This window comes from Homo sapiens, chromosome 15, assembly GCF_000001405.40.
Source record: "Homo sapiens chromosome 15, GRCh38.p14 Primary Assembly".
NCBI lineage: Eukaryota > Metazoa > Chordata > Mammalia > Primates > Hominidae > Homo > Homo sapiens.
The window spans coordinates 45904145-45921382 of record NC_000015.10 but is presented as its reverse complement, the minus strand read 5'-3'; the positions used below and the strand labels follow the sequence as shown (position 1 = coordinate 45921382).

General features: G+C 36.5%; 1 long non-coding RNA gene across 1 annotated transcript in view, besides 1 other annotated feature; it reads right to left on the bottom strand.

Moving 5' to 3' along the window:
• LOC105370802 (uncharacterized) overlaps nt 1-17238 on the bottom strand; it is a 225875-nt gene that overhangs the window by 9687 nt on the left and 198950 nt on the right. The window lies entirely within an intron of this gene.
• Nucleotides 623-1822: an enhancer, noted in NCBI's record as "BRD4-independent group 4 enhancer chr15:46211759-46212958 (GRCh37/hg19 assembly coordinates)". NCBI's record gives its function as "activates an origin of replication core promoter dependent on BRD2, P300/CBP, MED14 and CDK7 cofactors, and independent of BRD4, by STARR-seq in HCT116 cells {active_cell/tissue: HCT116}" and the evidence as "EXISTENCE:reporter gene assay evidence [ECO:0000049][PMID:35650434]".

Genomic DNA, 17238 nt, shown 5'->3' with positions numbered 1-17238 from the left:
CTTTTCCTTCCTACCTTCTGAGAATATTTTTTGAAGAAGGTTTATTTTACTGCTGTCTTTTCCAGGTTATCTTAACTCTGGGATCTTTTCTAAAGAATCATTCTTGTCAGACTGAGAGGCACTTTGTGTTGGAAAACATTGCACTATATACCAATGAAAATTGCATGTTGTAAAAAGATGTGTATTTTGTTCTATGTAAGTTAACTTTGTTAATATGCAAGGAAGGAAGGATCTAAAGAAGTATCTGTCACTCCTTTGACTATAACAGTTGATTCAGTTGATCTGGTTATTTAGAAAGATGCTGGTCCGTGCTTCATAGCTCCTCAGGCCTCCTTCCTGATAGCACAAAGTTGGGCAAAGAGAGGACCATCTGGCCAGGTGTCATGGCTCACGATGCCTGTAATCCCAACACTTTAAGAGGCCGAGGCAGGCGGATCACTTGAGGCCAGGAATTTGAGACCAGCCAGGACAACATGGTAAAACCCCATCTCTACCAAAAAAAAAAAAAGAAAAAAATTAGCTGGGTATGGTGGTGCATGCCTGTAATCCCAGCTACTCAGGAGGCTGAGGAACAAGAATCGCTTGAACCCCAGAGGCAAAGGTTGCAGTGGGCTGAGATTGCTCCACTGCTCTCCCACCTGGGCAACAGAGCGAGATGCCGTCTCAAAAATAAATAAGTAAATAAAAGGACCTTCTTAGAGAGAAAAACTAGCCCTCAATAAAGTTAATCAGTTTTAGCTAGAGCAAACCAGCTAACATTAAGAAGTTGGTCTCTGGCTATAGCTGAGATGTAGATGACACCTAGACAGCAGGGGTGGGAATGGTTTGAGTGTGACCCTCATCTGCTCTTCACTTAATTTAGCCCATGGTGTCAGTACCCAGAGGTCTAGCTCCCAGTTAATACCCTTATCTAGTCCATGGTAGCATAGTCCCAAACTGTACTCTCTAAATTGCTATGATTTATTACCCTGTGAGTCTTCTCCAACCCTCTACCACCATCCCTACTCACTTTCTCTTTAAAATATTCACTAACTAAAATCATTCAATTGGATAGAAATGCATTTTGTCCTGTTCTTTATTGTAAAAAACAAAAGTAAAAAAAAACTTTTAAAAAAAGAAAACTAAAAGAAGTGCCTTTCTGTTTATATGGCTCTTGTCTAATTTCCTAACCATCACCCACAACTCCATTTTGTGGTAGTATTTTTCTTCATTCCACACAGTGATATAAAATGTCGGTGTTGATGAGTCATTTTTCCTCTTCAACTTGTTAACTTCTACAGAGTTCTTATCATGCCAAGCATTCCTTCACAAAATAAAGTCCACAACAGATGACTCATATACCTCTTATTAGAAAGAAAACATCAAAAGGATGAATAAATAAATAAATAAAGCAAGTAAGCAACCATAATCCACTACCTGCTTAGTGTTAAGAGGACTTCTCAAGCGTCAGAACAGCTTTACGAAACTCACTGCTGAATCAGCCTTGGAGGGAGAGGTGTGGCCGCCCAGCCCAGCTGATGCATGGGAGCGGGCTGTACTGGGCTTTTCAAGAGCGGAGAGAGGAGGAGAAACATCCCTATTTTTTTACTATTAGTATTCTTAGAGATTTGCTTATTTTACTTACATGTGAAAAAAAAAATTAACCATAGGTCTCAAGAGAGAGACAAAAGGGAATACACATTATACTCTAATCCTGGCACTCCACCATCATCCAGAGCAATACAAGCTATGGAAGACAAGGACGAGCGGAACACAGATCCAAAGACTCGCGAGTCATGCAAAGACAGAGGGAGATTTTCTCCAGTTTCTTGAATTATTTCTGTTTTAAAATATTCAGTAGCAAGACTCATAGCAGAGTATCCCTTGCCAGCTACGCCACAACTCTATCAAATGGTCTTCTGGTCTTCCAGGAATTGATTTTGATCTGCTCAGTAATGCTTAGACCCACATAAAGAAAATAAAACTAATGTAGGCCCCATGGAAACTTCAGGGAACATCCCCCAGGCATTTATTACACCAACAGTGCAGGTGCACAGTGGCATAGCAAGAAGCTCTGAGACCACAAGCAAAATATCAGATAGGCTTTTTTAATTTTAAAAATAAATAGACCCCTAGCTTTGTGCACTAAAGGGGTTTGTTGAGTAGTATTTACACCTGTGGAGAGAGCAGAAGGTGTCAGCCGAGAGAATCAGCGTTTTTCTCTAACTCTAACTTGATTTCCATTATTTTTGCAGTGTCCTCATGCAGGCCAGAGACCCCAGGGTGTTTTATTCAAGCTGTGCAAACAATACCAGGAAACAGGCAACTCTAAAAAAATGTACTGAACTTAAAATGGGGGAAGTGCCTGTTCTGGCTCTCTTGAGCTCCTTCATTTGAGAGGAAACTCCCACAGTGTGGACAATGCACTGGCCTTGGGCCCTGGAGCCCTGGCCTCTGGCTGGGTGGCCTTGGACAAGTCACCCAAACTCTCTGATTCTCTCCTTCTGTAAGATAAGCATGGTACCACTTCAGACAGAGACTGGTGTAAGGATCAGATGGGAAGGTAAGTAGAAGCATTCTAAACAGAGTGAGAATAGGAAATATTATAGAGATTTTAGATGTTCCTTGTAATTTAAGTAGTTCAAGTGAAGTTGGTAGAATGGGGAGAGTAGTTTTCAGATGCTCCATCAATGTCTAAACCCCAAAGCTTGAATCTTGAGGACAGATGTAGCTACACCAATATGCTTGGTTTTCTTCTTTACTTCTTCCTGCCCTTTTAATCCATCCTCTTCTATTCTGGAATTCCAATCCTTTATAGTGCCCCACATTTCCTTCCCAGCCCTATACGTTCTTATTAGTTAATACTGCAGTGTGTAGGCCAATTTCATGATGTTCTGATAATTATGATGTAGTGGATTAGCCTGAGCTGGCTGTAAGAAGCTGTTACCTGTTGAATTCTGCAGGAAGCAGACTTCTTAATGAGAATTCATGGACAGGAAGGTTGTTAGTGCATATTCTTGGAAAAAGAAAGGAAAAAAAGCCAGACTGGGTGAAAGGAGAAGTTTGGCTGTAATGTAGTTTCAATGAAGGCCTCCATGAACCCTATGGAAAGTTTTTTTTTTTGTATGGGGGCTCTTCAGTGCTGTCCATGCTTTCAAATCCCCATAAACATCAGTCATCAGATGTAGGCAGCCCTCACAAGGGGCATGGCCTTCAGTTAAGGCAATAAGAAGCTGACAACTGAAGTCTTTCTTCCATCAGAACTCTCAGTAGCTGGGGGAATAGATCCTCCAATTCTGATATGAGATCTGAGTAGTGCATTTCAATAGTCTTCCCCAGAAGCCACCAAGCCACCATGAGTGCATCCACCCTTCGCTGAGAGGTTGATCTGACCCTTTGCTCTTCCAGGTGAAGGAGACTCATGACTATGTCATGGCATCAGACAGCATTTGAAGCAGAAGGCTCAAGCTAAGTGACCAGGAAAGACCAGGCAGAGACAAGTCTAGGAAGTTCTCACTATCTGAAATGAGTAGAAAGTTTATGAACCAGAAGAACAAAGTCAGAAGGATTACCTAGGTTTCAGGAACCAAGACTGCCAAGGTGTAAAGCACCAGGTGTAAAGCACAGGAGGAAGGCCCAGGACCAGCATCAGGAAGTGAACCCAGAGGGCAGAGGCAAGTTCTTCCCTCACTGTTGGGGACCAGCTGAGTGCCAGGCCCCCAGCTCCTCTTCTCCAAACCTTCCTGCTGTCAGAAACATAAAGGGCACGCAGATATTCATTTAACAAATTCTTCATATGAATTTTTAGAGCAGAATAATGGTTAATCTCTGTTGGATAATGTGCTTCCCCTCATCAAGATGAAAGCTGAATAGGCCATTGTGATTTTCCTCCTCAGCCTTGGATTCTGGTAATTTTCAAGTTAATTTCATTGTTGATTTTCAACAACCATCTTGTCACAGAAACCTGGTAGAATTTTCCTTCTCTCTTTTCTCTGCCTCTTTGTATCCTTATTTCTCACACTTCCTAATGTAACAGGGTTTTTTTTAATCCTTTAACTATCTGAAATCCCTAACTGGGCATGCCTAATAGGCATCCCTATTTTATAACTAGTGGCCTCTTGCCTGATCCTAGTCACAACTCTGAACAGGGAATGTAAACTGCACCTACTGGGGAGATGCATAACCATGAGCTGAGAATTTCTAGTCAAGGATGAGGACTAAGGTTGTATTTACTCTTCTTAATTTCCTGAAATTATTAGATACAATCCAAAAGAATAAAAAATGAAGAAAACTGCATCTAAAATGAAAAATAGAAAATGGCTACAATTCCCAACCCCAGGCTGTGAAGAATACTGTCAAAAGATAGTAAACCTTAGACCCAAACCAGAGATAGTGAAAAACAATTCATACCTCCTTGAGTCTTAATAAGAATGCAGATTTCTTTGAAAATAAGTGGGAGGGACCCATGGGTCCCAGCTTTACCTAGAACGATGAGAAGGAGGACCATGAGGCCATTTGAGGTGGAGGCCATCCTGGAGAAGAGGGGAAGGGTAGAGGAGTCTTGTTACACACGGATGAACAGAGGGAGAACAAGGACTGAAGAAGTACTGTTTTCACCTTTGCTTTTTCCGAGTAAGACTCCTATGCTGAAAACAGCCTGAGATGAGGCAAGGAGGAAAAAAGACCAGAAATAGCAACTAGCTTTGAACTTGCTTACAACATCCAACTAAGCAAAATAAATTAGTACAGAATCATCAAATAGAAGACCTATGAGCCATGGAACTATGCTGCAAATTCACATGGATCCTCTGGCTGGCAATCTGCTTACCTGGAGAGGGAGAGAAGGAAAAGATTACCCCCAAAATTAGAACGATAATTCTAACAGTGATGCTATGATATATATGAAATAGAAGACAATAAAACTACTACCCAAATTTTAAAAACCATTAAAAGCAGCAAGAAAGAAAAAATATATATCTGAAATGCAATGATGTGTACTTTTTGAGACAATTAGGCAAAATGGGGGAAAAAGGACAAAAGAAGATGACAAAGAGAAGATTAGAGATGTGGAAGATGAAAGCAGTTACCTAATATAGAATTGTTATTTTTCGATAAGAGAATGGAATAAATAAGCCCTGAAAAAAGTTCAAAATACAATAAAAGTTGGCAGAGATAAAAGAAAGCCCTAAATCTGCAGTCGCAAAAAAACACACTATGAATTAAGAAAATTTGCAGAAAAAAATAAATCCACTATCTACACGGAAAAAGTAGTCACTTACAAGAGGATAAGGGTCATCAGGTTACTACATTCATTCTCAAGAGGGATGATATTGCCTTCAAGGGGACAAAAATTTATTATTGGGGGAATGAAAATAATATTAGATATTATAATAGTTTGTGGCCTTCTAGAGGACCATAATATATAAATAAATATAGAGCATATCTGTAATATTAAAGGATCTTTGGGTAAGGAGCAATGATGAAAATAGAAACACTGTGTTAGCATGATACATCCACAGAATATTCAATTCCAGGGCAATGTTTACAGAGTCTTCGGAAGACATAACCGTACCCCAACAATTTCAGGCCAACCAATTATCAGCCATAAATACGGTCCTTAGACATGCATATGCAGTCAGGACCTAACAACCATAAGCCCTCATGAGAAAAACGGATACAGAATGAGCCCCAGCCAGCCAAAAGATGACCCAAAGTAAAGAACCAGAAATGGGGAAGCTTTGATATTTAAGGACTGGCGGTGAACAATGGAGCCATTAGAATTTTACAACATTTAATATGTTTTGTAAACTTTGACATTGTGAAAATAAAGAAATTAAAAAGCAAGGTAGTGAGATATGGGTGATGGATGAACAAGGGCATTTATTTCCCTGTATTTCATAGCAAGGAGTCAATAGAGCTAGCCTTAAAAAATATTTACAGTCATAACAGTGACCCCCAGAGGAACTAAAAACCAGATTACAAATCTCTCAAAATGTCAGTAGAAGGGGAGCAACAGAACCAAAATAAAGAAGACATAAACCATATAACCAAAGATGGGAGATTGAAGATGGAAAACTATGGAAGCATTAGAAAGAGAAAACCCCTAAGATGACAGGATTGAAACACACGTTATGAATGTAATATGTATGTTACATGTGTATGTGTAAATACAATAAATTCATCAAAAATTATCAAATTGGATTGAATAAACAAAAACTAGCTGTATGCTTTATATTATTCAAATAGTCATTCATAAAGGTTATAGGTAAAATTATTCATATTACTATTCTTTTTTGCACTTATTTACGTCTTTGCCAGACAGAATTCAAGGCAAAAAATATATTAAACAAGGCCAAAGCACAGTTTATCATCACAAAAACATTCAATCTAGTGATATCAATGAAGACATCACTAATGTTACATTTTACATTCTAATTATTATAACATAAGAATACATAAAGTGTAAAATGCAGAAAATTTAATGAGAATTCTTCAAATAGAGGAGGATTTTGATTTATTTCTCTCAACCTCAAATAGGTTAAATACTCAAAAATTTAGTGAGGATATAAAGAATCTAGAATCTAATTCATTAAATTACATTTTTATAATTCCACATCCTTAAAAAGAGTATAGAACTGTTTTCAAATACTTGTAAAAATATTTACAAAAACTTGGCTATATATTGGGCACAAAATAAACCTCAAAAAACAAATTGTAATAATAGTAATGACCATGCTGTCTGGTTATAATGCAATAAAAGTAGAAATGAGTAACAAAATGAATCACCTGAAAATGCTAACTCATTCTCTAACAATTTATTTAGTTCATGATTCTGTTATTGGCTCCAAAGTTGCAGAATATCTAGAAAATAATAATATTAAATGCACTCAGTTAATAATAAACCATAGTAAACAGCTAAAGCTGTTAACAGTAGAAAAATTGAAGTTCTATACTTATATTACTAAATATTACTAAATAAGAATTCAACTCAATAATTTAAAAGGAATTAAACCTAAGGAGAGCAGAAGGAAAACATTATTTACAATAAAAAGAAATGCATATGTTATAAAACAGAAGACAGAAAGTAGAATTTATCAATATAACCAAAAGGCGATTCTTGGCGGGGGAAGTAATATACATAAATCAGCAGTTAGCCTAAACAAAAATTAAAAAGGAGAAGGCACAAACACAAATAATAACAATGAGACTAAAGGGAGAAAGAAACCTCATCTGCATAAGATATTAAAAAGAATTATGAGTACTTTGTAAAAACTCTATAAAAATAATTTTGAATTTCTAGATGAAATAAATATTTTCTAGGAAATTATAACATCCAAATTGAAAGTATTCTTGATTTATTTCATGACTATAGATTTATCATCTTTCTCTTCTAAGTCAAAGAACAACTACTCCCCACACATCCTACACCCAAGAAAACTAGGTCAAAAAAGATTCAAAAGCTTTTTTTTCCAAATCTCTAAAGAACAAATAATGTGGTATTATTTCAACCCTTTCAAAGCATAGAAAAGAAATACACTTTCCAAATTCAGATCAATTTTGCTAGTTAATGACAATGTAAAAGTCTCTAATATAACATAGGTAAATACAGAACACGAAAAAATGTACCATGACAAATAGGGCTTATTAAGGAATGAAAGGGTTTTTCAACAGCAATTAAAGGCCATGGTCTTCCATCTGACATTGATTACTCCTTCGTTGGGCCAATCTTGTCACTAATCCCCAGCCCTCTAGGTTCATTCCTTACCTGTCTCTTCCCATCATCCCCCACCATAGTCTATACTCCATCTTGTTGACAGAGCTTTCCAACACACATGTCTGTATTTTGTTTTTCCCCTACTTACACTCCATTAGAGATTTTCCACAGCCTTTGGGATAAAGTTTAACTCCTTGATCACAGCACATGAGGGAGGCTCTACCAACCTCTTTAGCCTTGTTTTCAGCCCACACACATGGGGTTGATCCTCTAGCCATTGCAAAATACTTGGAGATCCTCAACTCCTTTTACTTTTTCTTGACTCTCTGTTTTCCCAAGTGCTGTTTCCTCTGCCTAGAACACTTTTCTTCCTCCTCCTATGCCTACTCAGGCATCATCTTCCACTCAAAGAAGGCTTCCCCAGTGCCCCCACTAGGCTGTGTTGGCTTACTTCCCCATCTTTCTAGTAGCACCTTGTGCAGACCTCAGTGGAACTCATCATCATGAATGGGAATTGTTAGTTTGAATGGCAGTCTCCCACTCTACACCCTAACTTCCTTGAAGACAAAGAGCTTTCTATCTTGCACTGAGCATATGCCTGGCATATGGAAGACACTAAATAAATACCAAAGGAATGAGTACTTCCGATTCTGGTAGAAAATCATCTCCAGATCAGGAAAGTCACTGCAAGTGGTTAATGAAATCACCCAGAAATGGGATTACTTTGGGGTCTCTGCTTAAAACTACAATATGCCAGCTTCAGACCATAAGAGATTTTTTTTTTCAGGATTGTCAACATGTGAGAAATAAATCACTATCTCAGAGAATGATGTGTTCTCATGAGGTGTCTTCTTACACATGGGAGGATTAGAGGTAGAATTTCGTAGTTTGAAGGTGATAGAAGGCTAAATACTAAGTAACCCATCTAAAAACTCAGTTTGAAACAAGCACAGATTTATTTGCCATCACTGCATAGCAGCACATCTGTACACCAAGGTCCCCGATTTGCCATTCTAGAAGAGGAGCTTCACACTCAGTATATCACATTGTGGTTTGTTTTGTTTTGTTTTGTTTTGTTTTGTTTTGTTTTGTTTTTTATTGAGACAGCGTCTCACTCTGTTGCCCAGGCTGGAGTGCAGTGGTGCAATCTCAGCTCACTGCAACCTCTGTCTCCTGGGTTCAGGCAATTCTCCTACCTCAGCCTCCCAAGTAGCTGGGATTACAGGTACCCACCACCACGCCCAACTAATTTTTGCATTTTTAGTAGAGATGGGGTTTCACCATGTTGGCCAGGCTGGTCTCAAACTCCTAACCTCAGGTGATTTGCCCGCCTCGGCCTCCCAAAGTGCCTGGATTACAGGTGAAAGCCATACCACCCAGCCATCACATTGTTTTATATTGCAGATTTTATCATCAATACAGGGGAGAGACCACTGCTCCCCTGAAGCTGCTACAGTGTTTCTCAGCAAGGTTTCAATTGTATTTCTGGGTCCTACATTCTTGAACATTCCTAGTTCAACCACAGCTCCAATAGTATATATTTTATAACATTATTTTCATCTTGCAATTTTATTTAAAGACTACTTTCAAGCTTTTTGGGAGAAAAACGCTTGGGAGTTGCACTGATGTAGTGTAACTCATATTTTACATATGAGGAGCAGGATGCCAGATAGGTTAGGTGAGTTTGCACACACAGTTAGTTATTAAAATCCAGAACCACAATATAAGTACTTAAATTCTAGATACAATGTTCTTGTTTTGGGGAGGATAATACTTGTAGTCATTTCTACTTTGTTACAAGTCTATCACAGCCCAAAAGTCTAATTCTTTTGATGTCTAATTCTCTTGATAGAGCATCAGCTACTTTTATTCAATTAACTGGCAGGGGAGGGTTTTCTATTTTCTAAAATATTACTCAAAGACAACACTTTTGTGAAAGTTGTCTCCACCAAAATAGAGTCACTGATGTTAAGAAAACCCTGACAAGCAGAGCTGGGAAAGGCCATGAAGAGAGGGTTCTCATGCTTGTATGCCTGATATCAAAAACTATCACAGACTGCAAAAACCACAACCCTGCACAAACTGCCATCACAACCTTACATAAAAAATGCTTCTGCAAAGACATCTGCCTAGCAACTGCTTGTACAACCTCAGACTGGTGTCATCCTTGTTATGGGTCTTTGTAGCCAAGGACAATTATTTGAAAACAGTTATCCAATCCTCTTGAGTTTTTCCTTTAAATGCCTTTATCTCCATATACCTTTCTGAATATGCACATAGTTTACCATGGCATGTGTATTTCCACTGCAATTCTTTATTTCCTAATAAATATCTTTTATTTTAGAGAGCCTCTCTCTGTTCATTGTTTAGGTTGATGTACATGGTATCAGAAATGGGACCTGAAAAATATCACTATTGAAAGGAATCGGTGATTCCTGGAAGCAATGCCCAGTACTCACTTGAGCCTTTTGACCTCCCTGCTTCCATGGCTAGCCTTTTCTGCCCTGCTGAGTCTTCAGTCTGATTTACCCTCCCTCTTTTTGGTAGAGGATTTTTTTATATTATTTGGGATCTGGTTTGGATAAGGGCACCTTAATAAAGGACCATGCATCCCTTCTGCGATAATAAAAAGCTTTTTGTCCTTTCTGGAATAAAGACGAGTGACTCAGGGGATAGAGTAATCTTGGTTTCTACAAAATTTACATTCTGTCTGTGGGTCATCTCTTATCTGGTTTGCACACCAGTTTAATATTTTGTTCAATCTGCATACGTGGGTTAAAACTTTCCAAACACTCTCATCTTGGTTTCTTTTGATTTGGTTTGGCTCTTTTCCCTTGCTTATTTCTGAAAATATCCCAGGAGCAAAAATAAACATTCTAAATGCTGAGTGCAGGATGGCTAATTAAAAGCCACTAGGGTGACTGCCACCATCTAGAATGTCAGTCCAAACCCTGACATTCTCTGAAAGGACTTATGAGATTTTCATTGCTTTTGAGAGATTAATAAGAAATGGAATGGGATTCTCAAACACTAAGGCATGCCAGGTTTTCCACAACTCCTGTCAGGTACATATTATGGTCTGTTCTTGTGCCCATTTTTAAACCAATGGGCAAAACTACATCAAAGAAAATTCAGAGCTCAAATGGTCATTATACTAAAAACCTGCAATTATGGAGTTAACATGTAGCGTTTTCTAAATTCTCATCTATTTTTTTCTGCCCACTTTGAATCTGCTGACTCTTTGACTGGTGTTGAGATAAAACTCACTGCTTATGGCATTTCAGCCAAGATTTTAAAAAAAAGAAATCTTAAAGGCCTTTCACATTCATGGCTTTACAAATTACAACAGCTCTATGGTAACCAACAACCTAGATACCTTTTAGAAATACAAATTTAGGTTTGACTGACTAACAATTGTGTACGATGACAAAACAGGTAATTTAAAACTTAATAATCTAAAAAGAAAAATAAGTAGATAAATGTTTACAAAAGTCAGGCTCTCAGATCAAACAGATCAAAATCTTGGGCTCAGAGCTATAATATAAGGTATCTCTGTCCAGCATAAAAATTTTGCTTTTTCCACAATACAGAGGCCAAAAAGAAAAAGCCAGGAAAAAAACTACTAAAAATTTTCCCCTCCCACATTTGCTAATTAATCAAGCCAGACCAGCAAACAAAAGATATATTTGTTACCAGTTCAAGGCTACTTGAAAATATTGTTTTTGTTGTACAATTCAGCCAGTCCTAACTAAAATGTAAATAATTTGAAATTTAACCATAAGCTCATTTGAAAAAAAAAGGAGTGGTAGGGAAAGAGTAAAAGAGATTTTTAAAAATCAAACTAACATGGAAACTGCTTTACCCAAAATTTTGGTTCACAGCCTTCATTAGAGTCCCGATCAGGGCAAATAAATTCTAGCCATGTGAATGGGCATAAATTTTGTCAGAAATATAATTTGGATCCAATTGTCTTTTATAAACTGGTGAGTTTATAATTACCATCTTATTACTAAAACTCTAAAATGAAAGCTATAAAATCTTTGTGTGTGTCTCTCTCTCCACATATATATGTGTGTGTGTGTGTTTATATGTATTTACCCATATGTCATATATTGTGTCTACATGATAAAAACTGGTGTAGTCATACAGAAATCACTTAAGGAATTCTATTTAGACAAATGAGCACTCACATAAAATATAAGATATATAATAATTAACTCAAAGTCTTTTTAGTTCACATGACTTAAGAAAATATTTAATAATAAGCTGGTTTTTAAATTATTGGTAAAATACAAATAGAAATCTTCAAAATTGTCAGCATACTTTTTTGCCTGGGTTTATTGATCAGTAAGTTTTATATCTGTCTCTGTTAGATGTTTCAAGCTACCAGACTTTGATTCAAAGTTTATAAAACTATAAAAACCCAGTCTAAAACAGAATTATCTTTGTTTATGTAATTTTTATGGGTAAAACTAATTTAATATTGCTGGTTTAATTAAAACAGCTGTATCTCCTGAGGTAGCAGCAAGATACCCATATTTTTAACTTTAAGGTTCTTACTTAGGTGAACATCTGATATTCACATGCTATAAAAATTGTTAATAGGGAAGTAACTTGAAATGGTGACTAACTTTGCCTAACCTCTTAGTTCTCATAAACAATCTAGGTAAACTGCTAAAAATAAATAAATTAGGAGAATGTAAATAGTATAAATATCTATAAATGAACTCGTCATGTAATATGAAACTTTGAAGATATGTTATATTATGTTAAATTAAATAGATATTCATTAAATGTGTGAGTCATTTCTAAATATGTGTTTTGGATGAGAAAAAGCTTTAAGAATGGCATAAAGATGTGTTCTTTTTCAAAAAAATAATAATTTTGTCTAATTCAGAAATTATTTAAAGGTCGTTTTAAAAGGCACAGACTAGAAATAAAGCAGCAAGGAGGAGAGAGAGAGATGTGAAGAAAGTTATGACTATAATGATGTATTTTCGGTAAGGAAGGTTTAAAAAAAGAGAGTATACTTGTATATGACAAAGAACCTCATGTTGTACATTTGTGTCCTAAAGTAAAATGACTGGGTACTTAAGAAAGAGAAAGTAAAGGATAAAGCAGAAAGTCCTGAGTAAGTTGTGATAGGGTATGTGAAAATGAAATTTATGAAAGGAATTGTGTTTGTGATTCAGTTGGTTATAATTAAAAGATAATTATTTACTTCTTTCTTTCTGAAGATTAGCTTTGATGTTAAAAAGACATTAATACAACACTTACAAAAAGATCCCCTATGCTAGAACAATGAGGTTTTCTTAAAGTATTGATTTGCTTTTAATAAAATTGCAAGAAGGTTTGATGTTTAATTCTGAAAACTCTTTCTTTGACAGCCATCTTCTAAACTACAGGCAGTTTTTATTTCTGCCACATTTCTTCCTGAGATATTTTTAATTTCCCTTATTTCATGTTGAAAATTCAGCTGTCTTCCTCCATCCCCTTAAAAAGATATATCTTTTTACTTGGCTGGGTGATAACTTTCTCCTTCTGCCTTTTCATCAACTCCTGTAACTCTTTCTCTCTGGTTTCAACTCTACTTTCACAGCCTCATGCCGAAATGTTTATATTAAAGGCCTAGAAGTGCAGTATTTTCTTCCAGTATAAGTTGATCATGTACTCTTGGCTTTTCTTGATAAACCTGAATTGTTCTATGTAATGAGAAAACTTCCCATGCTGTTAACTAAGAGCCATGTATTCTCCTGCTCAAGGTCTAGTTTTCTTGTTTACTTTCCTCTATGACATAGTGTCTATGCATAACCCTAGACACAGTCTTTCTGTGTCTGATTAAATTCAAGTACCCTTTGCATAGGGTTGGACATCTAAATGGGCTTACCATAAAGAGAAGCAATCACGGTGTACAAAGCTTTTCTTTTCCTTTCTGGTAACTGGCCTAAAATTTAAAAAAAAAAAAAAAAAAAAAAAAAAGACTTTGTTTCATCAAGACAATTTCCTGTGTTGTCTTTACGGAAACTGAGCTTTAGCAGAATTAAGACTTTTATAACCACGTAACTTTCTGTATTGCTTCTGAAGTCTTTTTAATATCACTCTGGTTAAATAAATGGCTTTTATTTACGGTGACCTGTGATTCTGTTTTGATCAAGTGCTTTGATCATCTTGACATCTTTGGCAGGTTTTCCCAGTATCAAAATCCTAAATTAAGTATTTGGGGCCTAAAATTAACTTTGGGATTTTCTAGTTGTGCCCCTGAGAGTATCAAAGAATGTATCTCTCATCTTGCAGAGATGTTAAATGATTCGGCTTATTTGATAAATTATATGGAAAACATTGTCAAACAATAAGTAATACTAGATTTTCTTTCCACTACATTTATGGGTATGTCAATATACAAATGTTCCAAAAATTATATATGTTTATTAATATCTAATAGATTATCAGTCATATTTTTGTTTTTTTGTAAAATGGTATTGGGATGGATATGTTATTAATTTATTCTAAAGATTATGTGAGAACTAAAAAGGTCTGATAGTCCTGATGTGACACCGTCAGTCATGATTCTGGTTTTTATCTTAAAATGCTATATGTATTAGAAACATCTAAGTGTCCTTGTCAATTGGGAACATTCATCAGATTTTTAACCATGACTAAGTCTTTTTATTCACAGTTATTATTTGAATTCTTCTTTAAAAGCATCTATAGTCCAAAATTGTATTTTATGGAAAACATTCTAACAAGTACTCTTGAAGACAGATTTCTGATCACTTTAACACCAATGGACTAAATATAAATTTCCAGAATTCTAATAAATAAACTGATGGGTTTATGAAACTGCTAATCAAGATTAAACAAAAAATTGATTACATAAAATTAAGTATTTGATAAAGATGTTTTACTGACTTTTATTTAAAACATTTTTCATTCCTTATTTAAATGTTTGGTTTTCCAGATCTAAGAAAACTTTTTTCCCATAAGCTATAATTTAAAACAATTTGGCAAAGTATACTTTTATAAATAAAGGTCAAAGTACTTGCTTTTTCTCTCTGCTTGACTCTTCTAAAATTCAGAAACTATTCTTGAGTATTCTTATTTTTACTACATAAGTTTAATGAAAAATATGCTGTCTCTTTATGGGGAGGATATAACTGGAAACACTGGCCATATTAACAAGGCTTTGACTAAAATGTCATATTTAAGACCGTGCATAAAATGCCTGGCTTCAAGAGTTCCTGGCCTTAGAGTGAGTGAGTAAATTTGTCACTTCCTGGCAGGCCCAAGAACCTTATCACTGTGAGCAAAATCTAAAATCTATCTTGGTTTGGCTTCCTAGGTTTTTAAATCTGAGATTCTTATATGATCAATGTGGAAAGAAAAAGTTAGATTTCTAAAAAAAATAAGTAAAAGAACTATAATACACCCGTTATTAGATTGTAGCCCTATGCATTATTTTCAAGTGCTTGTTATCTACTTGTAGACAGGACTAGTTCCTGAATTCTAATTTTCTCCAATATTTGGCTACAACTCTCCAAGTGAAAACAACAAAAAATTTCTGTTCCTACAGCCTTATAAACTGAAACTAGACAAGTTTTAAGGAACAAGCCTTGTGCCTCTTGTATGGGGCACACAAAATTTCACCACACAGCCCAATGCGACGACCAGAGACATTCAAACTACAAATCAGGAGGAGATGTTGTTTTCATGTGGTAAACAGAGTCTCCCAACATGTTGGGATAAGACTCCATGTCATAATGAGACTTTTACCCTTCTTAATGCTATCTTTTTCATTTGGCAGGGTAATGGTACAATCAAAGTTTCACAATCAATGGCTTCTGCTGGTAACTTCAGAAAACCTAAGACATACTTTAGTATCGATTGGTTAAATAAGAAAATGTCTGTACTATTGCTAGTACTACATGCTGTACCTGGATAAATTGCTGTGGAAAAGTTGAGACTCATACACACAAAATAAGAACACAGGCTACATGGTTACAAGTCTTAACTAATTCCCTATCATGATTTGATTTATTCAATCGGTTGTCCTTAAGCCTAAATTCATGACTCAAAACCATTATGCAAACTAGAATTGTCATATGACTATTAATTTTACTTTGCATTTTCCCTTTTTAAACTTTGTATCTGTTACTTGTTAAATGTTTTGCAGAAGTACAACTCCTAACAAAACAATGCTGCCCCAGCACTTTGAGATGATAACAAATGACTATAGAACAGACAAAACTGAATTTAATAATGGATTCCAGGTAGCCTTAGTCCGACAGCCATTCTCTTCAAGCCTCCCTTGTTGCCTAAATGTGGCTAAAAACTTTTGACACTGGCTTTTAGTTGCCAAGCACTCCCCTCAATGTAGGACAAGACCAGCAACTAGACAGGTCCATCCTGGCATCAAGAAACATCAAAACCTAAATACAGAATGATTGATCAGTGATGCTTTTGGAGAAAGATCTTGATCAAAAGGGGGAAATGTGAAAGTTCTGAGAATCAAAATGGAGTCCAATGTTACAATAATCCTGGCAAAAAGAGCTGCGGAAGGCCATGAAGAGAGGGTTCTCATGCTTGTATGCCTGATAAAAACTGTCAGGAAAGACTGCAAAAAAAACTATAGCCTTGCAAAAAAGGCCATTGCAACTTTACACACAAAAAAATGCTATTACAAAAATATCTGCCAGCAAGGCCGGACACGGTGACTCACGCCTGTAATCCCAGCACTTTGGGAGGCCAAGACGGGTGGATCACTAAGTCAGGAGATAGAGACCATCCTGGCTAACATGGTGAAACCCTGTCTCTACTAAAAATACAAAAAATTAGCTGGGCGTGGTGGCGGGCGCCTGTAGTCCCAGCTACTCGGGAGGCTGAGGCAGGAGAGTGGCGTGAACCCCAGGGGGCGGAGCCTGCAGTGAGCCGAGATCATGCCACTGCACTCTAGCCTGGGCGACAGTGAGACTCCGTCTCAAAAAAAAAAAAAAAAAAACAGCCAGCAACTGCCTGTCCAACCGCAGACCAGCATGGCCCTCGTTATTGGTCTTTGTAGCCAGGGATAATCATTTCAAGACAATTATGCAACCCACCTCATTTGTTCCTTTAAAAACCTGTGTCTTCCCTTATCTTTCAGTATAGGCATATGGTTTACTGTGGCATGTGCATTCCCATTGGAATGCTTTATTCACAAATAAATAGATTTTATTTTAGAGAATCTCTACGTGTTTGTTATTTTGGTTAACACTTTAAAACCTAAAACTAACAAGACAATATACATAGTCAGATGATGTTACAGGACGCATAGCTCAAGCAACCTGGAAATTGCCTAGCAGATTTCTACTCTAATTAAATCAATTGTCCATAAATCACAAAGCAAATTAAAATGCAATGAAGAATGATGCAAGTTAACTTCAGGGTCAACCATTGTGTTTATACCAGCACCATCTGTGCATCTGCTCACTAATTAGACTCTGTATTGGTCAATATTTAAATAGCTGGGCAGCCCTACCATGAAGATCATACACTTAAAGGTAAATGAGTTG